Raw genomic sequence first — 25,355 nt, 5'->3', positions numbered from 1 at the left:
TTGCCACTCTTTCTAACACTACTCCTTCATGATTCTTAGTGATTTCATAAATGTGTGGACTATTTTTATGATAGCCTGGTCTCTTAGTGTCTTTACTTCTCTCTGCCAATTACTTTGTTCTCCATAAAATTATACAAACTCACTACTCATGATCATACCACAAACTTTCTGATTACCAATAATTGCAGCCTCTCCATCATCTCAATTTTTTCTGTTCCTCCTTCTCACCACTGCCTCCTGTCTTTCCACCAAACTTAACAATCTTTTGATCTCTATTTAACTATTTACAATTCATTATTCATATAAATGTTTCCTGTACCTCTCACATATGTGTCCTTATTTTTCTTCTTATTTAGCTTACAATCAATATTCATTCATTGTAATAACTTCTCTTATATGTGCCATTCACTTGCTTTTGCTTGCTTCATTTTGGGAAGCAAGCGAACAAACCTGATGAAAGCCACCTTTCAACAGTTCTGTGCCTGCAACCGTGCAGCTGAACATGGCTGGAAGAAAACAGAATTGTTTGTTGAAATTGACTAGTTCCAGGTTAGATTTATGTTCATCAACCTCAAGTGAATCCATTCACTTGTACTCTTAGACTAATATTTTATACTTTCCTTCCTCCCTCTTCTCAAACCATCAGTACGTCCTTTTTCAAGTCATGGCCTGAAATCCTATTTTAATGAGAAAATAAGTGGAATCATTAGAAACATCCCACCTTCTCTCACCATCACATCTGAAGAGCAGCCATCAGCAGTTCTCATACACTCTGTTTTATCTCCTGTAACAGTGGGCAAAATCTCCATGTTAATAGCTAAGGTCAACTTCTCTACTTGTGTCACTAGAACCCACTCTTTTTACCTACTCAAGTTTGTTCTTTCAGCAGATGTTTCCTCTTTATCTTGCATCATCAGTTTTTTTTTCCATCCTACTACATCATTTTGACTTGCAACATGCTATTATTTCTACCATTAAAAAGAAAATTGTCTGTCTGGCCCAAATCGTCCCTTTAACTACCAACCTATATCTTTTCTTACCTTAACAATGAAGTTCTAAGAAATAATCATCTATACTTACTGTCTCCAATTTCTTTTACTGAACCCACTAAAATCAGATATTGACCTTTACGCTCAACCAAAACTGCTTTTATAAAGATCACTGTTGCTAAATCCAGTGATCACTTATCTTTTCTTTTTTAATTGAACTGTCAGCTAGTTCCCTCAATCTCTCTTCATTGAGCTTCTAAGGTACATATTCTCCTGGTTTTTCTCCTGCCTCATGGGCTGCTGCTTCCAGTTTCCTCTCCTGGCCCCACTTCATATCCCCTAAAATACTGAGTGCTCCAGGTTTTTGTCCTTGCACATTTCTACTGCTCTAACTACAATCACTCCTTTGGTGATAGCATTCAGCCTTGCATTCTCAATTATCATCAACTTTTTAACTCCAACTTTGTATCTCTAGCCAAGATCTCCCACCTAAGCTCCAAATGCATATATTCAAGAATTTATTTAAATATCTAATAGACATATCAAAGTAAACATGTCCAAAATTGAACTCATATCCTCCAACTTTAGGTATAGCCTTCTCACAGCATTTTATATGTTAATTAATGGCAATTCTAACCTTTTAGATGCTCAGATCAAAATCTTGGGTCATTGTTAATTTCTCTTCTTTTTGGCAAAGTGTCTCAGTTCAACCTCAAGAATACATCCAATATCTAACAGTGAGATCACAGGACACGAGTGTCATCAGTGTCATCATTTCTGTCTTGGTCTAAGACATCCGAGTGATTTCTGCAGGCTTTCTCTCTCTCTCTCTCTCTCTCTCTCTCTCTCTCTCTATATATATATATATATATATATATATATATGTATATATGATATCACATATACATTGCTGTATATATATGCATATATATTCATATAGATATGAATTCTTTGAGGATAAAGTATATTTTCTGTTCATATATTGCCAGTATAAAGAACTGTTCCTGGAAAATTCATATTTAATCAATATTTGTTGAGTGAATAACCTGAAACTTAGAGCAGTTCATCGTTTATTCAAGCTCTGTGAATTTTAAATTTCTCTCCCTAGACTGAGTGTTCTTCACACTATGCTATATTGCTTATTTCTTGAATACACCACTCAATTATTTTCTGCAAATTAAGCCTTTAAAATGTTTCATTGTTGATCTCTTAGAAGCAAATTAATTTATACATAAAGATGTGCAGTCTAAAACACACATACACATACACTCACATGCACACACAGCCACCATTTTAGAATTAAGTGCAGACCATCATCCAATACTAAAATATATCTCAAACATCTTGGAAAAGAAAAATGTTTCAAGCAGAAGAGGATATTACTTTAACATTATATTGGATGCATCCCAGTGTTTGACAGCAATTTGGAGTTAATACTGTGGGAATACTTTTATCTATAATGATTAATAGATTTTTCACTTCAAATATTTAAAATTTGGAAATCTTTAAAATTTAGAATCCTCTTATTCTTAAAGAAACACATGTCCTCCCTCTTATCAATTTGTATATAAAAATCATCATGATGTGGATCTTGTCTTACTTAATGAAATATGCTAATTGCTGACACCTTCCTATTTTCAGTTAAACAATGAAAAATGAGAACATTTCAATAGATTTAGTGCACCATTTAGCTAATTTTCGTCATAAAATTATTCATTAAGCACTCATTTATATAGGCTGTGCTTGCCATATGTTGTGGTATCAGACCAGTTTTAATATAAATATCAAATTCTGACACCTAAAAAAATAATTTTGAGATGCAACTTTAAGAGCTTTTGAGGCTACACCCATCTTTGAAGATTTTATAGGTCACATATATTCAAAGTTGTATTCATAGCAAATGATTATGTGTATCAAAGCGATAGTGTTCTGTTTTTAGAATTATCAGTTCTCAAATGCATGGGATATTATAGCTAGTTCCTAATGAATATTTTGTTGGAAGCTCTATCCTCTGCCTCTTTGATGTCTAATTTATCAATAAATCAGTTTGTGAATAGTCTTTACCCTCAAATACAGTGACAGCTCTCTTAAGGGTTTTAAGGTTCAGTTTTAAGGTTTTTTTTTTGTGCACTATTTAGTTATTTTCCTGATTACCTTATAGAATGATTATTCCCACACAGGTTTTTTTCCTGAATTGTGTGTGTGTGTGTGTGTGTGTGTGTGTGTGTGTATCTAGTACTGGCCATATAGATATATAAAGGTATACATTGACTATTTATTCTTCTTGGCCATATCCATAATTCCATTCAGTAATAGATGATTCACAGGCATAATAGAAAGAGCTCCTGAGACCACTGAATAAGCATGAGTTTCCTTCCAGTTCCTTCTGATATGTTAGTAAAAGATAGTAAGGATCTTTTTGAAAAGAATAATTATTGTGGGAGAAAAGGAATACAGATTTTTTAAAACAACTAGCACTCACCAAAATGCTAAAGAGGGCCACCGATTACTCAGGCAAGAATTAACATGTTCCACAATATGGATGCACAGTCTTTATATTTTACCTTCGTAATATTTTAAACCATTAAATTATATAAAAATATATGTATCTATCTATATATGGATATATGAAAGATATATAAGATATATTAAAGGTATATATGCATATATAAAGAAATAGACTAGTTATTTACAGTTTATAGCACAGATACCATGACATTTTTGAAAATTGCTAATTGTTATATTTCCCCCCTTCAGGCATGTAATAATTATTATTTTTGTCATGGAGTTATAACTAGAATCTAACGCTGCTTTTTCTGGGCTCTTCCTACTGTCATATATTTTGTCCTTTATAATACAAGACTGTCAAATTGAATATAAAGACCTTATTGTCTGATTAGACTGAAGGAATTTGTTTTAATTCAACTGAATCCAATTATAAAACTATTAATTGAGCACACGGTATTTGCTAAGACTACACTGGAAATACAGTAACAAGACAGGCACAAAGTCCTTGCTTTATGAACTTATTTGCTAAGGGTGGAGCTAGACTTCTTTTCCTACAGAAATTTATCATTCCTGGCCAGCCGTGGTGGCTCACACCTGTAATCCCAGCACTATGGGAAGGCCGAGGTGGGGGCGCATCACCTGAGGTCAGGAGATCCAGACCAGCCTGGCCAATATGGTGCAACCCAGTCTCTAGTAAAAACAGGAAAATTAGGCAGGCATGGTGGCACACACCTGTAATCCCAGCTACTCGGGAGGTTGAGGCAGGAGAATCGCTTGAACCTGGGAGGCGCAGGTTGCAGTGAGCTGAGATCTCATCACTGCACTCCAGTCTGGGCTATGAGAGCTAGACAACCTCTCAAAAAAAAAAAGAAAGAAAAAAGAAAAGAAAAAAAATTTATAATTCCTGAATTTGTTAAACATTTAACCCCTTGCCTTAACTATCATACCATCCACATGCATATAAAATATCCAAATTGTCCTTCTATCTCTGTTGAGAAAGCATTTAGACAATTAGAGTTTTCTAATTACACTTCCAGAATAAATCTTACTGGATGTCAAAGAAAACACGTAGAACACATGACTAGTATTTTTAAGAAAATGAAGGTAGTAGTCTGTTAATGACTAGAAAGAGCAGAATGATCAAACTATCCTAGGAAGAGAAGGAGCCAGGACAATTCCCCTTCTCTGGTGAGACTGCAATTAAAAATAAAATCATTTAATGTGTGTCTTCAACTCAGGAAACCTCATCCTTGCTTGCATTGATCTGCAGATGAACAAACTAGCCTCCCAGAACTAACTCAATGTTTCCCCCAAGGTGTAGCATAAAGTTAATCTAGTTCAGAATTTCCCAATCAGAACTATCAATGTGTGTGTGTGTTTTGGTTTTGTTTTGTTTTGTTTTGAGACGGAGTCTGACTCTGTCGCCCAGGCTGGAGTGCAGTGGCGCGATCTCGGCTCACTGCAACCTCTGCCTCCCGGATTCAAGCGATTCTCCTGCCTCAGCCTCCTGAGTAGCTGGGACTACAGGCGCCCGCCGCCACGCCCGGCTAATTTTCGTATTTTTAGTACAGACGGGGTTTCACTATGTTGGCCAGGATGGTCTCTATCTCTTGACCTCGTGATCCGCCCTCCTCAGCCTCCCAAAGTGCTGGGATTACAGGCGTGAGCCACCGCCCTCAGTCATGTTTTGTTTGTTTTTGAAGAGCAATGGTGAGGTTTTGAGGAGTAGGAGGGTGGAGATTGTTTTATTTATTTATGTTTTTCTGACTGAAGATCTGACAAGTACTTGGGAGTTCCCAGTTCCTTAAATAGTGTAGAGCAGTGCATCTTAAACTTTAATATGCATGTGAATCACCTGGAGATCATATTGAGATGCAGAATTGGATTACCAGATCTGGGAGGTGGAGATTCTGCTTTTTTAACAAGCTCCAGGGTGATATCTTTGCTATGATTCCAGAACTACACTTTGAATAGAAAAGACATAGAATATTTTATTCAGATGATTTGTAAGGTCTGTTGCTCTGATGTGTTATATTTCTTCTCTCTACTACTTTGGCTAATGAATGGATAAAAGGATTCTGCTTTGTTTGCTTCTGAAGGTTTTCCACTCCTATGTGTATAGCTAGGAATGTGCAAACCATAAGGCTCTACCATTAAAATGGCATGTAACTGCTATGTAATATAGGAATATATCAGGGTAAAATTTAGGAGTTGCACTGATCAGGGAAAGTCTCAAGTTTTCTTGGAATAAAATAACAACTCTCCGCAAAAGGCAGAGGGTGTGATCGAAAAAGACTGAGAGACAGATTGCGCAGACTATGGAAAATGTAGCCTGAATTCTACTAAAGGATAAGATTTTTTAAGTAGATGATAGGCTTTGGTCTATTAGATCTTTAATCATCCCATATCTTCTTGTAGCTGTATTCAATTAAAATACAGAAAACAAAAATGGCTCAAAAAAATTTAAAAAATATTGTTTCTGTGAACTTTGTCATTTTCTTTTTCCTCATCAGTAATACTCATGTTTGTTGTTTTGTTTCTCTGTCTCTTGTCTTTTTATTAATTTTTTGTTCAAGGATGACAATATTAAAGTAAAGATATTGGATTTCTACTTTTGTTAAGATAATTGATCATCATAGTCCCAGTATATACTCATGGTGTGTGTGGCAGGGTGTGTATCTTTAGTACTGGTTATCTGGATTTGTAAAGCCATGCACTGACTATTTTTCTTGCCCACATGTACAATTCCATTGAGTAATAGATAATTTACATGAGTAGTGGAAATATCTCCTGAGGCTATTAGGTAAGTATGAGTTTCCAGCATTCACTGGGGAAAGAACTTATTATCAGAAGCTTATGATCTTGAAAGAATGCATAGCATGAGGACAATAATTGGAGAAAATGTCACTTGTTTTCTGCCACTCAAAATCTTCATAAGCACTCTAGGTATGCAACCATCATGAAAATAATTTCACTTAAGACACTTGAGATACTAAAACATTTTGGATAGGTGGAGTTGTTACTTTTATTAAGGTAGTATTCAACTAAAGAATTATTGTCACATATTTATATGAAGTTTTCATGATAGGGAAATTTGCTGAATAATCCAATAAATACAGCATGACATAAAAACCCACTTGGATAATGACTACCTAAAATAAGACTAGTAAAGCAATTTTTTTCTTTATCTTCATTCTCTTTCGCATGCATACAACAGACTGTAGCATTTTGTAGCTGAAGATAGTGTGTTTATGATCATATATTTTTGTGTTTGGAAATTTTAGAGGGATTCTTCATTCATTATCAGCTTGTTTAATGCAGTCTTTAAATCCTTTGCTGATTAGCTTATCTTACAATTATTTCGATTCGGGGATTTATGGTTAAAATACAAATAAAAATAATCAGTGTCCATTTTCCATCTTTTTCTTTAAGAGTGGAGGTGAAGATCTTTCACCTTCTTTCTTTTCTCTTCTCTTATCCTAGCCTGTAAGCCTGCTTATTGTAGCATGAATCGGTTCCTTAAAAGCATCTTTATTTACAGTAAGGCTTAGGCAAGAAAATGTATTTATTGAATAATTTTTCTTTTTAGTTCTGTAATTAGTTCTCTTTCTCTTTCTCCCTGTACATAAATATACATACATACATATATATATATACTCTGCATATATATATCTATATTTTAAAGTGTATATATCAGTGTATATACCACTGTATACACAAGTGTATTTTAGAGATGAGAACATAATTATATGATAATTACTGTGATTATATATCATATATATTTTTCTGTAATATATTCCTGTAATATCCAGTGTCACTCATTCAGATAATTACAATGTTTTCATCTCTAAAATAATTTTTAAGAATTTAAAAATGTATCTGATATTATTTTTGTCATTGTAGGGTCAATACTTTAAACTTATCTCCATACTTAATGATGCAAATAAAATGATATAATACTGTATTCAGTAAAATTTTTATTAATCAAAACATTTAGAAATTGAAGCAGTCTAGATTGTTTATTAATTCAGAGTAAAGTAGAGTACTTTTTTATTTCAGCTCTCATTTCTGAACAAGTTTTACAATATCTGGTCCAATTCTTATCTTAGGATAAGATATATTCAAGTATATTCAAGTAAGTGAATCTTTCTTCAATTATTTGTAATCTGACAGAGAGTGAGTATTGAGTAAAAGAAAACCATGGCTTTGGGATCAGTCAAGCATGTTTTAATTTACAATATCTCCTTTATCGTTTACTAATTGTTTGACCTAGGTGATTTACATAGTCTAAATCACAGTACATTACTGTGGTTTATTATTAAATATAAAAGGTCTAGCACAGAATGAATACACAGAGGTGGTGGTCATCATTGTCAGTGTTCAAGATTACATACAGATATAGAACACATATTTAAATCCTAGAGCCAGAAACTCCTTTAAGATAAAGAATACTCTCATTTTTATCAGTGAAGAAACAGAGACACAGAAAATTACTACATTCATAGGAATTTTAGTTACCTTACTCTCGCCCACTTTCTCTATACTTTCCTGTATTCTGATAAAATGACTATATTGGTGGTGAGAAAGGAAGGGGATATAATTAATTATAATTTATTTTATACATACATTCGCATAGACTTTAAAATGTGCATAAGTTGGCATACATTTTTTCTCAAATAATGTTTTAAAAAAACTTTGGAAACTGTAAGCAAGATTCATTCTTTTCTGATTTTCAATCAGTCTTATAAGAGTATGGTAGTGTGTATGTACATTGTAAGGTAGTTGCCCATTATCCACAAGGGATATATTCCAATTTACACAGTGGGTACCTGAAACTGCAGATAATATCAAACTTTAAATGAACTATGTTTTTCCCTATACATACATACCTTTGAAAAAGTTTAAATTTTAAATTAGGAACAATACGAGATTAACAATAACTGATAAACTATTATAACAATATACTATAATAAAAGTTATGTAAATGTAATCTGTCTCTCAAAATTCACTGTATTCACTCTTCTTCTTGTGATGATGAGAGACGATACAGTGCCTATAAGATGCGTAAAGTAGGCCAGGCGTGGTGGCTCACGCCTGTAATCCCAGCATTTTGGGAGCCCGAGGCGTGTGGATCACGACGTCAGGAGATCAAGACCATCCTGGCTAACACGGTGAAATCCTGTCTCTACTAAAAAAAAAAATACAAAAAATTAGCCGGGCGTGGTGGCGGGCGCCTGTAGTCCCAGCTACTCCAGAGGCTGAGGCAGGAGAATGGCGTGAACCCGGGAGGCGGAGCTTTCAGTGAGCCGAGATCGCACGACTGCACTCCAGCCTGGGCCACAGAGCGAGATTCCGTCTCAAAAAAAAAAAAAAAAAAAAAGAAAGAAAAGAAAAGATGGGTAAAGTAAAATGAGGTGAATGATGTAGGCATTGTGAGGTAGCATTAGACTACTATTGACCTCGTAATGATAAGTCAGGTGAGAGGACTACTAAATGACTAACAGACAGGTAATATATACTGCGTGAATACTCTGGACAAAGGGATGATTTATGTCCCAGGCAGGACGAAGCAGGATGGTGCAAGATTTCATTATGCTACTTAGAACAGTGTGCAACTAAAAACTTATGAGATATTTATTTCTGGAATTTTCCATTTAATATTTTTGAACCGCAGTTGACCACAGGTAACTTAAGCCACAGATAGTTAAACCATGGGCAAGGGGGGACTACTGTGTATAGAAATATATATGTACCACTGTCTTCTATTTTTAAATTATTCTAGTAGTCAAAGAAGGCTGTTTGGTTAAGAGAGATAGAAACCTACTGTAATTACTGCGAGTAAAAGGAAGTGTAGAGATTTTGAGAGAATATGTTAGTCTTAAAGAAATTACATATGCCATGGTCCATGGGGTCAAGAATGAGGAACGTGGAATATTTCAAGGAACATGGATGCTTTCTCACCTCTCTTGATTCTAAGGAACTTTAGGTTTTCTCATTTGTGTTTTCTCTGGGTGTTCCATTTCTCCCTCTATGTCTTTTATTTTCCTCAATAACTTTACCTTAATTTTTTCTAAATTAACCATGGTGTAAATTCTAGACCTCACTATTCATGACATGTTCAATTCAACCTGACTAGCAACAGGTACCCATCTCTTTCCAATCAGCCATGGAAAGGGAGAGTAAAACATATGGGGTCTTTGGGCTGTCTTTCCTAGAGATAGAGATGAGGCCAGCAGTGAAAAGAGGGAGTCCAAGCTGGGCAAACAGTGATATCTCTTAATAAGAAGTTACACTGTTTATTATATTTCAGATAAAATGTTCTCAGTTATCTAGTTATTTGGCTTGATTTACAAAACATTGTGGTTCATGACAATAAGATACTATTGAGATAATAGCTTTTATTTATTTATCAAACAACAAAATTATGAACTATTCCTCTTTCCTTATCTCAAAACAGTGAGATTATTTTAATTAGATACTTTCATTAAAGGACTCATAGGACCTTATTTCATTTCTACTCATGCCCAATGTCATAAACAACAAGTAAAACATTAAAAATGTTCAAGTTGGTGATATTTTAAAGCAGTGTATATATATTCTAAGTTTATCCAAAATCTGAAACCAGGAATACATTTATTTAGGTCTTGACATATGCTATGAGGATTATATTTTTATTTTATTATCTGGCAGAAATAATAGGTTTATATTATTACATATTAGAGGACTTAAATTAGAAAAAAAATACTTTACTTCACCCTAAAAAGCATTTCTTTCGAGCAATGCATGTTGTAACCAAACAATATTTTGTACTTGTTGATATGCTTAGGCTTTGTGTCCTCACCCAAATCTCATCTTAAATTGTAATCCCCATACTCCCCACAATCCCATGTCAAGGGAGAGACCAGATGGAGGTAATTGTGTCATGGGGGCAGTTTCTCCCATGCTGTTCTCGTGGTAGTGAGTGAATTCTCATGAGATTGATGGTTTTACAAGGGGCTCTTCCACCTTCACTGAGCACTTCTCCTTTCTGCCACCTTGTGAAGAATTTGCCTTGCTTTCCCTTCATCTTCCACCATGATTGTAAGTTTCCTGAGGCCTCCCCAGCCATGCTGAACTGTGAGTCAATTAAACCTCTTTCCTTTATAAATTACCCAGTCTTGGGCAATTCTCTATAGCGGTATGAAAATGTACTAATACACGTGTGGTTCGCTCTCAAATACCAAAGCTTTAATGCCTACCTTTTCTACTTCTGCAAGGTGATAATGCAGAAAACACAAATAACCTATTGATGTATGTATTTCTAACAAATTGTTCACCAGGTCTTTATCAATATCAGAACAATCTTCTTGCCAATAAACACAATTTACTTTAAAAATATGGTAAAGCTTATTGGCAATAAACTGAAACCCTTCTGACACAGTTCACTGTAGTGTAGTCATAGACTTTAGCTTTAAAATTTGCACAAGGAGCTTTAATTACTGGCTTTTTAATGAATTTTTTTCTATAAAATTATTTCACTTGAATGGTAATTGCATTATGGAAAAATTCAATCTTAAGGAAATATCTGTCTTTTGTAGATATCTTTTTTGTGATATCTTTTCACTTTATCTTAATTTCCTTCCAGTACTCAGTCCTGTTCAATTGCCCAGATGACTTCAGATATAGTTCATCAGGTCTAGAAATACAAAATATGTTTTAGTTCACATAATTTACCTGAGAGGCAGTACTGATGGTTAGTGAATTTAGATATTGTTTAAAACATTTGTCAAGCTAAGGAGAACATGACTTTGCTGTTGAAGCAAAGAGAAAATGTGTTGAAGAATCAAGAATGAATGTGCTTCCACCATGTAATTTAAAGTTAAAAATATATGCCAATCATTAGAAGTGTTATTTTTATTGAGTTATATTTATATAAGCAATGATGAATGTATTTACAGAAATAGCTACATAGTAAATAAGAGATGTTTCAAATTTATCAATATTACTTAAATTATTTATCTTTATCTTATTAAAACCTTCCAGTGGTGTTAGGAATAATCATACTAAGGACAAGATTCTAAATGTGAAACAGATTACTAAGGAACTACCGGGTAAAAGACACTTTTTTCCCTTCTCATAGTTGGAAAGTAGACATTGCAGGGTTATTTATTGTTCTAGATTTTTTGACATAAATATTTGTGACAGGGAAGTCAAGCAATGTTTTCCTTTTTGAGGAAATAGGTTTTTCTCTGAATTATTCTCTCTTCATTTAGCAACTATGTAAATTATTTATCCTACAAGATGCCACAGAATTTATTCTATATATAGCCTTTTAAAAGCCATCTATAATCTGGTGTATTTGATTGGTATAGATACAGTTATATACAAAGACCTGTGTCTTATCGAATATAATATCATGCAAGTTTTCCAAGTGCATGTTAAGTTTTTGTAGTGTACAAGATCTTTCCTCCTTATATACTGTATTATTGTTAAGCTCCGGAATTTTCTGAAAACAAATAGTACTGGATGGATTTATTCCCCTCCCCTAGTCCTCATTCGTTCTTGCACAAACGAGTGTCAACTTCTCTATCTACCTAGGTCCAGTGCTTCATTATTACAACTATTCTAAGCAACATCACTACCTGGTGATTAAGCAAAAGTACATTTTGGTAACACCACACAAACATGTTACCCCTAGAACTAGCTTTTCTTCAAGATGTTTTTGCTTACTGATTTTGATGAGAGTCATGCACACATTGTTAATCCTAGGCAGACCTATTGCAAAATAAGGAGGGGAAATAAAAAATGCCCTGAGTAATTAAACTCTGGAATAGGATATTCTTTTTCTGAGCATTGTTCCTGCTTACCCGTCAAAAATCCTTTAGTAGCCTTATTTTCTTCCTTTTCTATTACTTCTAGAAGTATGCCCATACTTCCCTCTGTTATTTCAGTTCTTCTTACCCATTTAGTTGTGATCCTTCACAGATTCTGGCTCAAACTTCATGATTTGACTCAGGATCCTGACAATGTGAGTGAGGACAGACAGTAGTTAATTCATATTTGGGTTTTGTAGGCATAGAAGAGACTATAAAAAAGGGAGGAAGAAATATCTATTTGTCTGCACTATCTCTACCTCAGGCTCTCTTATTGGTATAGTGAAAAGAATATTAGATTACCTACACCCTAGGCAAATGATGCTTTTCCTTTTTTAATTTTCAGTTTCTTTATATTTACATGGAAATACAGTAGCTATTCTATGGAACATTTACTCAACTCATATTTATATGCTAGGAAAACTATAGGATGCCAAGAATATATAAAAATAAATAATACAGATACAGAAGGATTCCTTACTCTTTGAACTTACATCTGGTGAATTACCTTTCCCTTTGTCCCCACCTCCCATATGCCTCCAGAATGTATCACATCAGATTAAAATGGACTAAAATGCAATTAAGGAGGTGTCATGGTAGGAGAGGTTTTTTTTATTAGTAGCATTAGAAAGGAAGATATTTAGTTAACAGTAACTTCTCTGATAGAAAAGATAATATGACAACTCCACCAATCAATGCCAAATAGAAAAATGGATTGCCATTGAGTATTACCTATTGTGTATTTGCACAGCAGGCCTTGAGAAATGTGATTATCCAGAGGAAGATGCATTACAGAACAATGACCTATGAGTGACCAGAGAGCTGGCATTTGTGAATTCTTGTAAGAAATAAAAGTGGGCTATTTCAGTGCAGATAAATGGATTTGTTACAGAAGGTCGTACGTAGTTTGGAGAATTTAGACACCCATTGAATTATATGAATTTAGTGTACATTTTGTCATGAAGAATTAATTTTGACAAACTGTAGGTCTACAGAAGTAACATCAATATAAGTCCCTTTTGTTCCTTTGTTAGCATACCCATTGCCAAGATGATAAGCCTTCATCAGCTTATATATTGCTATTGCAAAAGATTCTGATTTTTCTTCTTCCAGGAAAATATTAAATTGTTGATGTAGTGTGTGTGCATGTGTGTGTGTGTGTGTGTGCGTGTGTGTGTGTTTGTGGAGAGAGAGAGAAGGGCCCTGGGTGGCGGGGGAGGGAGGGCAGGGAAAGAGCAAGTGAGAGTCTGCTGTGTGTCAGACAGTGTTGCTAGGGCTGCAAATATCGCAGTAAACTCAAAGTGACAATGTTTTTGTTCTCACAGAGCTTACAGTCTAGTGAGAGGAGAAAATAATTTCAAATAAATCAATAAGCAAAGCGATTTCTGTATAGTGTGATATTATAGAGAGTGAGAAGCTACTTTAGATGGAGAAATCATGGGTGGCTACTCTGAAATGAGAGTTGATATGAGGTCTCAATGATAAGAAGGATTCAGCCATCCATTAGCCTGTCTAACATGGTCCTATCATGCTGCAGGATAGGCATATGCCTAGGTATGGTCAATGATGCCTTGATGTCATTGAGTTTATATCTAAAATGTTTACATTGCTTCTCAAGACTCTTCATAATGTAATGTGTTCTATCCAGTGTATCTTACTACTTATTAATACAAAACTACTTTCCTCTGGTTCTCTGCTGCCATAGAGTATGTGCCATTTCTGTATAATTTATATTGTCCTTCTAAAGTAAGACTTTTATTTTCTCCTGAATTGTTTTCTTTCTTTTTATAACTCTCTGGATATCATGTATGTAGAACAATCCACATTATACTATACTTTTTCAGTTAGCTCTGAGTATCCTCATCAACAGTAGGCTCATATATTTGCAATTCTTTTTTTTTTTTTTTGAGACAGAGTCTCGCTCTGTCGCCAGGCTGGAGTGCAGTGGCACGATCTCGGCTCACTACAACCTCCACCTCCCAAGTTCCAGCAATTCTCCTGCCTCAGCCTCCCAGTTAGGATTACAGGTGCACGCCACCACGCCCAGCTAACTTTTGTATTTTTAGTAGAGACGGGGTTTCACCATGTTGGCCAGGATGGTCTCGATCTCCTGACTTCATGATCCACGCACCTCGGCCTCCCAAAGTGCTGGGATTACAGGCGTGAGCCACCGCGCCCGACCTGCAATTCATTTTATACTGAATCATATACTATCTTGTGTTGCTCTTCAATTCTTCCTTGAGAACAATTAGAATAATAAGGGACAGTTTTTCTGTATTTACTTTTTGAGTAGCAACTATGTGCAAAACTTTTTATATCTATTTTACTCATCTCTACAACAATTCTGAAATGTTAAGTTTTAGCATGCCCGTTGTATTGATGAGAAAATTAGGTCGTCTAGTTTAAATTACTAATACAGGGTCACACAGCTAGTAAGCAGCTGAACTGGGACTCAAACTGACTTCTGTGTAACTCCAAAGCTTGCCTTCTTTCCATTATACCAGAGCTTCTTTCTGCAATTAAATGGTTTGCTTCTCAATTAAAAATGCCCATCTAATATTTCTTTTGTGTTCTCTTCAAATCTAACACATTACTGTGTACATAAAGGGACTTGGTAAATTTGTATGAATTAACAAAATATAAACACACACCAATCTCTCCTTACAAGAAACTGGGAACAACAGTTGCCTCTGCAAAGTTACAGTGTAAAAGAACATTGATTTTTTAAAAAACAATTAATTTTATTTCACATTATTATGTACTGAATGTTTGTGTCCCCCTCCAAAACTAATAGGATGAAATTATAAACCCGAATGAGATGGTGTTCAGCGGTGGGGACTTTCGAAGATAATTAGGTTATGAGTACAGAGCTTTCATGAATGGGATTAGTGTCTTTATAAGGGGAGAAGAGAACAGAGCTCTCTTTCCACTACATAAGGATGCAACAAGAAGATGACCATCTGCAATCCACCAAGAGTGCTGTCACCAGACACTGGATCTGCCACTGTCTTGATCTTGAACTGTGCAGCTTCCAGAGCTCTGAGAAATAAATTTCTACTATTTAAGTCACCCAGTCTATAGCACTCTGTTATAGCAGCCTGAATTGACTAAGACATTGATTTTGTACATCTAGTTCCCTCTATTTGGAATGTCCTTTACTTTCTCTTTTGTCTTGTGAAATTCCACTTATCTTTCCACACCCAATTCAAATGTTATTTCCTCAGTGTAGATTTTGCTAACCCCTCCCCTCTAGAAAGAGTATTGGCACTGGGGTTTGTGTTCCCTTAGTACCTTATTTTTAGCAATTGTCTGCTTAAAAGCAAAGAGCGCAGTTAGTCCTCCATATCCGTGGATTCCATGTCTACAGAGATGACCAATCACAGGTTGAAAATATTTTAAAAATAAAAGTAAAAAAATATTAAGTATTAAAAAATACAAATAGAAATAATAAAATTTAAAAATATAGTATAACAACTATTTACACAGCATTTATATTGTATTAGGCATTATAAGTAATCTAGAGATTATATGAAGAATATGGGAGGATTTGCACAGGTTATATATAAATACAATGCTATTTCATATATGGGATTTCGTTATAAGGGAGGGGGTTCTAGAACCGGTTCCCCATGGATACCAAGGGACAACTGTATATTCATTTCTTTAGGTACTGACAGTGTCCTTCAACACATCTTAGCTTAAGTTGAGCACCAGAAGTTGAATTATCTTCATAAAATATAATGCAGTTCATAAATGTTTCTGTTCAATAACTGAATATATGCCAGTTGCTCCATAAGATTACATCATATTTTTACTGTACCTTTTCTGCATTTAGATATGTATAGATACATAATCCTTACCATTGTGTTACAGTTGTATACAGGATTCAGTACAGTAACACCCTGTACAGGTTTGTAACCTAGCAGCAACAGGCTATACCATATAGCCTAGGTGTATAGTGGGGCTGCGCCATCTTAGGTTTGTGTAAGTGTGCTCTGCAGGTTGCACAATGATGAAATTGCCTAACAACTTCCATTTCTCAGAATGTTTCCTTTGTTTAGTGATGCATGACTGTACTTTCTAAAGTTGTAGGCAGAAGAATGGACTATTGTTATTCACTACTCTAAGTTAATTCCCATGATGCTAGGATGACTTTCAAAGAAGTAACAAATTCTTCACTGTTGGAAAGAAAAAAGAGGAGAGTTTTGCATCATACTTTTACTTTTGTTTACCAGAATTTACTACTTCTCTACTTATTATTCTTTGTCAAATTTCTCAGTACAAATTGTGATACAGTGTGGATCTACTGTCACAACACATAGTTAATGTGGCACATACTGACGTACAACCTCTCTCATACTCTTGTTATCATTTCCCTTTTATCATGCATGCTATTCCTCTGGGACTACACTATCCACTGCCATCACCCCTTGCATCCTCAGCACATAACACAGTGTCTGGTGCATAGTAGATGATCAAGTAATGCACAGTGAATGAATGAAGGGAGGAAGGCACTGACATTTTGGTTTCTGAGGACGAAAGGTCATTTCTTTTTGGATTCCACATTCAGTCTCATTTTGAGTTTCTAATGAAAATTTCTGCTTTCTCATTTATTTTTACAATTGAACTAAGGACTCCATTGAAGAGTCACTTCAGAATTCACAACTAAAATATTTCGTCATTAATGCCATACCACTGGACAGAGCTTGCAGGATCTGGCTTGTAAGATATATATATATATTTTTAAACAAAGTAATGGTGTATGAGTAGTGATTCCAAAGCAGGGAACTTGAGGAATCAAGTAAGGAATCATCAATTATTCCTCATTCCAACATTCAAAAAACTAAAATATGACTATAAGTTACTGTGAAAATATCAAATTCCCTCTGATGTAATTCAAACTTGGTTTAAAAATGTATAGCAATCACATTTCAACAACTTACTGTATGACAATAAATTGAGTTTAAACACAATTGAAAATGTTCCTAATGTTGCCAATAAGTAATGGTATTGAGGTTTTCATTTATAATATGCATCCTTCTAAACTTGTTTTTGCATAACATGGAATTAAGTGGATTTTTTTCCTCCTCCTTTTATTGATAATTTCTCTGAATGCCTGCCAGGTGCTGACTACTTTTGTTTGCAGATCTCTTACTTCTTTGTTTCTTCAGCTGAATGGAAATGATTTTTGGCAACATGTGTTCTTGTAACTATATGATGCCAATAAAATGATGTTCACTCCATGCCTCTTATATTACCACTTGTTTAATAACATGCATAATTATGAGAGACAATGGAGTATGGGAAGGGTTGATGGCTTCCTTTTCTAAAGCAGGAAATAGTGCCAATTGTAGAGCTGGAAAATTAATGATTTTGTTTTGCTATTATTTGAATAAGGAGCTTTAAAATTTTCAGCGTGCTATCTTTATGGAGCTTCTGCCTGTCTTCCTCTTCACCACAATTTAATTTCAAATGTTGATGCATAAAATCTTATGATTTGAATGCATACCTTGGATACTATATGGTCTAACCCCCCAACCCTATCTAGAAATTTCTTCTAAAGTCCTATAAGAGCCCGGCATCTGGCTGCACTGCCTGTATTTGAGCACTGTCAGTTCACGCCTTTCCAGCTCAGATCATATGGGCTTGGGATCAAGAGAAACAAATTGGTTGTAGTCTCAGCTTCGTTTCTAACTCTGCCTATTACATAATGTAAGGCCAAACCCCTCTCTGAGCCTCAAAAACCTCATGTATAAAATGATAGGACTGAAATACAAGGCTTCTAAGATTACTTGTAGATTTAGACATTATGACTCTGTATATAAACACACATTTTAAAATCTTATTAGTATTACCTTACAGATTAGATTTTTGAAAATATTTTTGTTACTGTAATTTCCTACTCTCTCCAAAATTTCAAATAAACGTCAACTGATTCACTATCCAATCTGGTCTCATATATATTTAGTAGCAATATAATACACACACACACACACACACACACACACACACACACACACACATTACTACCAAGATCATATATGAAAATTCCAGCCGCTATGTTAAGGCGCTCTTGACTATGTTTGTGTGCATTATTATTGGTGAAATGTCCCACATCACAGGACCCAGGAACAGTAAAACTAGAAAGAAATGTACACAGTTTATCTAATTCCCTTAAAAGTAATACACAATGATAAAAAGAAATCTGAAGCTGTTCACCTGTAACTTGTAATAAAATCAGGGTAAGAAAGCAAGTAGGCCTGTGATGGATCTGGAGAAGAAAGAGCTAGACAGAGGCCTTTGAAAATTTTCTCATCTTCCTCTTCCACATTCCTGACATGAAGTCATTTTGTTTTCTTTTAACCAGTTGTGGTTGTGGGGAGTAGCCACATAGTGCTAAGCTGTTCTAACTGCTAAATATTTATTTCTAACATAGACTCAAAATATAGATTCCTGTAAACCTTATTTTGGCTGCTAAGCTGTCCATTGTTACAAAGAAAAAAAAAATTTTACTCACAAAAGACCCTCTACGTTAAATACCAATGAATAGGCTCAAATATTGAACTTAAAGTGTCATACCTTTAACTGATATTATGCGCTATTCTGGATTTGAGCAAGACCGAGTACAGGGAAGCTACCAAGTTTCTTGATTCCAGTGGCAACATTCTCTTTTTAAGTTATGCCTCACACTTTTAATTTATATTGAACACTTCTATTAAAATAGCCAAGTCCATTTTTTATTAAAATCTGTACATCATTTTAAGGTCATTTACTGTCAGGTTCCATTTGACTTAAAATACACTTATGAAACAAAACAATGAGTTAGAAGTTTTGACATTAACTGATTTAGAAGATTTTAACTTTAGTGGTGTAGAGAGAAGAAAAAAGGCATTAAACACACTTTTTTGTCCTATATTTTCTATATATACAAGTGCATCAGAGGGATAGTAAGAAGCAGGGAGGGAGGGAGAGAGATAGAGGTGAAATAATAGAGCAATGGTTCTATAACATGCCATCTGTGAGTCAGTATCAGGTTACTGTATGCTTTGCATCAGGTTCTAGTTAAATTTAAATGTTGAAAGCATATTTGAGTGAAAATAACATGTACATTAGAAAAATTTTCCTGTGCAATTTAAGAAAAAGCAATCAGAAAAAAACTGTGGCCTACATTCACTTGTTCTGAAATGTGTTGTAAGATTCATACAATTGACTTTGACAGGTGATATTGTACACTCTTTTCCTCTAACCATGAATGTGGCAGCACAATGAAGGGGTCTCTGGCTTATAAACTCATTGACTATCTTGAAGTTAAATAATCAGTGAGCCATCCTTTCAGAAGTGATTCATATTTTAAAACAGAATGAAAAATACTCCTCAGGGGAAAACACATGGTTTTGCAATATATGAAGTCATCAATAGCTCCAGATGTTTTGCAATCTGAACTGTGTCAAGATAACAAAGCAATGAGCCAAGATGGATTGTTGACCTGCCATACCAGAGCAGGTGGGAGATGGAATTTGAGAGGAAACAGTCCCCAAATACCTAAATTATGTAAAAAGCTGCCCAAAATAAAAGTGCTAACCTATCAATCATGGAAATGTATATTAGTCAATAATAATATGCTTTGTACTTGTCATGTGGTGACTACATATTAAAGAAATGAAATAAATTATTTTAAAAACGATTGAAAGGCAGCTAGAAATTCTTTTGCATGCATTTATTTATCTTTGTGAACTAAATAACATTATACAACAGATGCCACTGGCAGCCATTTGTAAGTTTTAAAGCACAAGCATATTATAAAAATAGTACGGTTAAGATTTAGTGCTCTGAGAATAGATATGGGTTTTATTGTTCCTGCTTTGTCTGTTCTTCTGTGTGATCTTAATTAAAATCAATTTCTTTATCTTCCATGTACAGATATAGATAATCCAGATGCAAAATGTTTAATATTTTCAGAATCTAATGCTTCCATGTATTTGCTGTTTTTAAATGTAACTTTTTTTGTGTTTTCAATAGATATCTCTTCTAGCTCAAAGCCACTTCATATGAAAATGTTAAATGAAAAATTCCTATTTTAGCTATCAGAGAGTTACTTATCAAGAGAACATGGAGACATTTTATTTTGTTTTGTTTTTGCAGAGCAAGTTGAAAAATTCTAACCTTGGCCCTAGGGTATTTCATCAGGAATAATCTTAAGTAAAAGCTTGCCTTTCACTTTTCAAAAGTAAGATTGTCCCTGTGCTCATACTCTGGCCTTTGTAAATGAACTGAAAATAATTTGTATGCAGTTTCTCTGAACTTCTAGTATGTCATCAGGATTTAGTTCAACTTAATAGTACTTTTGAGAGAATTAAATTTAGAAAATAGCTGTATAGTGTTGATGCATTTGTAGTAGTAAGGTGGTGTCTTCAGTAAAGGAAAAAGTTGGCAACGAACCTTACAACACCTCCCTTGTTTCCTTGACCACTTTGATTTATAGTTTTCCCAGAAGAATACTTTTTCTGAGTTACTGATAAGAAAAAAAATCACATAAATTATTTAATCCATCCTTTTCCTTATGACTTATGAAGGTCTTACCCAAATCTTAACTTAGAGTGGCAAGAGGAAACATTTTATCTAAAGTAAAAGATTTAAAATAACATGGAAATATACTATTAGTTTAAAAGAGAAGGAGAAAATAAATTAACCCAATGAAGGAACTGCTTGCTTAAGTAGGAGTCAAAAGTGTGGAGTTATAGTCAACCATTCAGTAAAGGATAATTGCTGAAGCAATTAATCTTTATATGCAGAATGCTTCTATGCCACTATCAATCATATCAGAAAGACCCACATGGACTATGCACTATAGAGAAGGGTCCTCATGGTACCCATCAAAACTCGACATTCATTATTGCTCTCTAATGTAGCAAGAAGGCAGAAGGAACTATGGGATGTGCTGTCAGAAAAAGAGAAATCAGGATTTTAAAATGAAATAAAAAAGGATTTAATACCTTAAATTTATACACTGTCTTATTTGTGGAAGTCCCTTGCTTTGGCAGCTTATCAGAGCCAGCATAGTTATGGCCAGGACTTAACACGAGCAACTCAGCCACTGATGGGTCACAAATTTATAATGTCTCCTACCCACATCATGAGATTTTCCTTATTCTGTTCTCTGTCTTAGACCAAAAGATCTTTCTGTGAGATTATATGACGCACATTCCTGCACCTCTCTTCTCTTAAAGTAGAGTACCCTTTGCCTGTAACTCTCTCGTATTAAAATAGTGAAATCAATATATATCTTTCTGGAGAATTTGTATAAACACCTCACTGGCACACAGTTTGAGCTACAGAAAACTTTGTTTTTCCCAATACCTGATCTTGTATCGCCTCATATCTCTTTTATCGTCACTTGAGCTGTTGCTCCAGCTTTCAACAGCTTAGAAAACAGAATGGGAATTTTAGTGCCTAGAATGTAAACTGGTGGTTGAGTATCTTAAAATAGGACCCTGCCTACTTTTCTTCAGTTTTAGAGGTATTGTTTCAAGTTTCTATGCCTCCCTTTCTTCTGAAATAATGATTGTTTTTATTCAGTCTCAATTGTTCAACATGCATATAATTCATCAAATATTTACTGAGTGTATTAATCCCTTTTTACATTGCTAGAAGAGCTACCCGAGACTGGGTCATTTATGAAGAAAAGAGGTTTAATTGACTCACAGTTCCACAGACTGTAGAGAAGCATGATTGGGAGGCCTCAGGAAATTTACAATCATGGCGGAAGGGGAGGGGAAGAAAGCGCGTCTCACCAAGGCAGAGCAAGTGGGAGAGGGAGCAAAGGGGGACGTGCCACACACTTTTAAACAACCAGATCTCGTGAGAACTCACTATCATGAGAACAGCAAGGGGGAAATCCAAGGGGAAATCATCACCTCCCGCCAGGCCACTCCTACAATTTGACAAGAGATTTGGGCAGGGACACAAATCCAAACCATATTATGGAGTAACTTCTGTCTGACAAGTTGACTGAAAAAAAAAAAAGAGGCAGCTGTGTGACTGGGGTTCTATATACTCTATACTTCCTCTGTTCTGACACAAATCTCACTCATCGTTATTGCTTATTTACTTGACCAGTGGTGTTCTTTGACTTACAATAACCTTTGAAAAGGAAAGACAGTGTCTGTTTAGTTCATCATTGTATTTTCTGTGCTTAACATGGTACCTGGTATGCATCGTGCCCTTAACAATTTTTGTGGAATAGAGAGAGGGAGAATGCATGAAAGGAAACAGCTCCAGCATGGTTACCAGCTCATAATATTTTTTCTTTTGAGAAGATACTCTAGGGAAGGATTATAGCTACTGGTTAAATTAGTAATATTTGAATATTGAATTTGAGTAAACTTTCTGCATTGTTAGTTTTCATTATTTAGTTTTTGCATAATTCTAAAGGACAGGCAGAACAATTAAATGGCCATTTCTAGAGTTACAATTTAGAGTCAGTTATTTTGATTCAAAATGTCTGTAAAATAAAGCTTTTGTTCATTTGATTCATGGGCTAGCACATTAAAGTATAAGAAGGCAGAAAGAAAAAGAGAGAAAAAAATTGTGATAGCCTCCTTTTGGCTACTGTTTCTCATCTTTCACCACTTAAGTGGTCGTTCAACCATTCTCCTATCCTAAGGATCACTAAAGCTCACTGTTTCCTCACTGAAGCCAGGGGCTTATTCAAGAGTTAGATTTTGACTTATAACAAAAGTATTCCATAAACTGACTTTTTCAGGATCCTCAAAACCATGTTGTTAATAAACAAACCTACTCTTTCTTTGATGAACCCATCAAACACACACTCTGAGTGCTTGCCATGAGCCAGGGACTGGTGACATGAAAATTGCTGATTTCTGCCCTCAAGCACTTCAAATGTCCTTCTGGATTTTGAAGCAAAGGAGAAGATATATGATGTTACAATTTTTTTCATTATTCTCATTAAAGATGTCACCACTAGGGTCTCAAGGCATAACCAACTAGGTTTTCCAAACAAAGAGTGAACGAACAAAGTATATTTTCCCCAAATTTAGAAAATATCATAATATTTCAGAATGGCCAATAGTTTTGCATGGAGAATAAACTAAGAAGTACAAATCATTATCAGTATGCACATTTCTTAAAATTACATCTTTAATAGTTCTTAGCAGATGTCAATCATGAAATTCTTCTTCTCAGGCAGGACTCATGTAAGTTCATTGAACATTAGACTTATAATATTTAAGGCCCCATAGTCCAGTGATCTTACTTAATGTTCAGGAAGTTTGAGGCCCAAAAAGATATGTATTCTTTCCCATGGCATCTAGAACATAATTGACCAGGGAACTATGTGACTTCCAAACCATGCTGGTATTTAAAGAAGCCATTGGACCTTTTAGAAAATTATCAGGCAGGCCATGCACTCTAAAGATTCAGTACCTATGCACAGATAGTTTCCACTATCTTTGGGGCTCAGAAACCTGGCTCAGATAGCAGTGAGATTCACAAATGGAAAGAATCCCTGTTTGAAGGGAGTGAACCAATGATGTGCTTCTCCAAAATCAAGTGGTGGTACAACTGTGTAATGTAGGGAGCAGCTTTAGAAAATGGGTGGCTTTTCACAACCAAAACACCGGGACCTTTCCTGTGCTAAGAAACAGAGAATCCAGAGTTCGGCTCAGCAGTCAGTGACTGCCAAGCAAAGCTTCTCCTCTAAGGCACAACTCATAACTCTGTTTTGCCTCCTATGCTCACTTTGGCAGCATCACCAGCAATATCCGCACACACATTATTGGTCACTCCCCTCCCCTTCTTCCAGTTGACTCTGTTAACATGTTTATTGCCAGGCATACTAAAAAAGCAAAGCTTTGACAAACAATTTACTTATTCGACGATTTGTTCCTGTGTGGTCTTTGAAATGCAAAACACATAAACAGTCAAGTTTAAGGTCCAGCGCTTTCATTTTGGTTAAATATATACAGCTGTTAAAATAGGGGAAACATTAATTTTCCTTATTATTAATTTGATTTGAAAAACCCACAATTTTGTTGATTCCCACTGAAAAAATTGAACTTTGCAATACTTTGTGTTATAATGTAGATATTCCTGAACGTAATTTACTTTGATCCTTTACCACTACATATTGGATTGTAAATTAGCTATCCTCCCTGTGGATTTAGAAGTGCAGTCACTGTATCTGTAATCTGGTTTTAGCGACCTCTAGTGCCAGAAAAGTTTAATTGCTCTGCTTTTTTTTTTAAGTTCAGAGCTGACAAGATATCTTTTAAATCATGCACATCAGTGACATCACATATATAAAATGAGAATATACCAATCACATTTTTCTATAATGTGTGTGTGTATATATATGTGTGTGAAATGTGTATAGGCATGGGCATATGTATGTACAATAATTCTAATATTTGCCTTGCAAACAAGCATGAGATTTTTGTTGGATACGTTTTGGCAATGGCCAAAAAAAATTCAACTAACAAAAAATGCAAAACATGTATTTCATTCCAGGAGGAATCCTCTTTCTTTTTTGCTATTCAGTGAACCGTTTTAGGAGGTCTTATATAAACTTATACTAGCATAGCTTACATATGTACCTTATATTGTGTAGAAAACTATTATAAGAATAGAAACTTGAACCTCCTGAACAGCTCATGCTCTATTATTGAAATTAAAATCAAAAGAGAAAGCTCAAGTTTCTTGCTGTTTAAAGTGTTTTAAATCTTGCCTTTACAAAAAGTGAGATGCTAAAGTAAGTGTGTGTGTGTGTGTGTGTGTGTGTGTGTGTGTGTGTGTGTATCAAAAAGAAAATGACATTTGGCCCACATACCTAAAATTTCTTTTAACATATCAAAAAAGTTTAACCTTGCTTATATTTACAAAAATACCAATTCCTCAGTTATATTATTTTATAAATTTCAAGGTAAACTGAATTTCCTTTATAATAAGTATTCATAGTCTTGCAGCACGATGTAGCGTGAGTTTCACAGGA

At 34.9% G+C, this 25,355-nt stretch overlaps 1 protein-coding gene across 12 annotated transcripts in view, besides 1 other annotated feature; it reads left to right on the top strand.

Annotated features, from left to right (window-relative positions):
• LINGO2 (leucine rich repeat and Ig domain containing 2) overlaps positions 1-25,355 on the top strand; it is a 1,275,985-nt gene that overhangs the window by 414,399 nt on the left and 836,231 nt on the right. The gene's annotated exons all lie outside the window — the stretch shown is intronic.
• Positions 23,565-24,064: an enhancer, noted in NCBI's record as "H3K4me1 hESC enhancer chr9:28775137-28775636 (GRCh37/hg19 assembly coordinates)". NCBI's record gives its function as "activates a minimal SCP1, AML or CMV promoter by ChIP-STARR-seq in primed H9 embryonic stem cells {active_cell/tissue: H9 hESC(primed)}" and the evidence as "EXISTENCE:reporter gene assay evidence [ECO:0000049][PMID:30033119]".

This window comes from Homo sapiens, chromosome 9, assembly GCF_000001405.40.
Source record: "Homo sapiens chromosome 9, GRCh38.p14 Primary Assembly".
Taxonomy (NCBI): Eukaryota; Metazoa; Chordata; class Mammalia; order Primates; family Hominidae; genus Homo; species Homo sapiens.
This window is presented reverse-complemented; position numbering and strand designations above follow the sequence as displayed.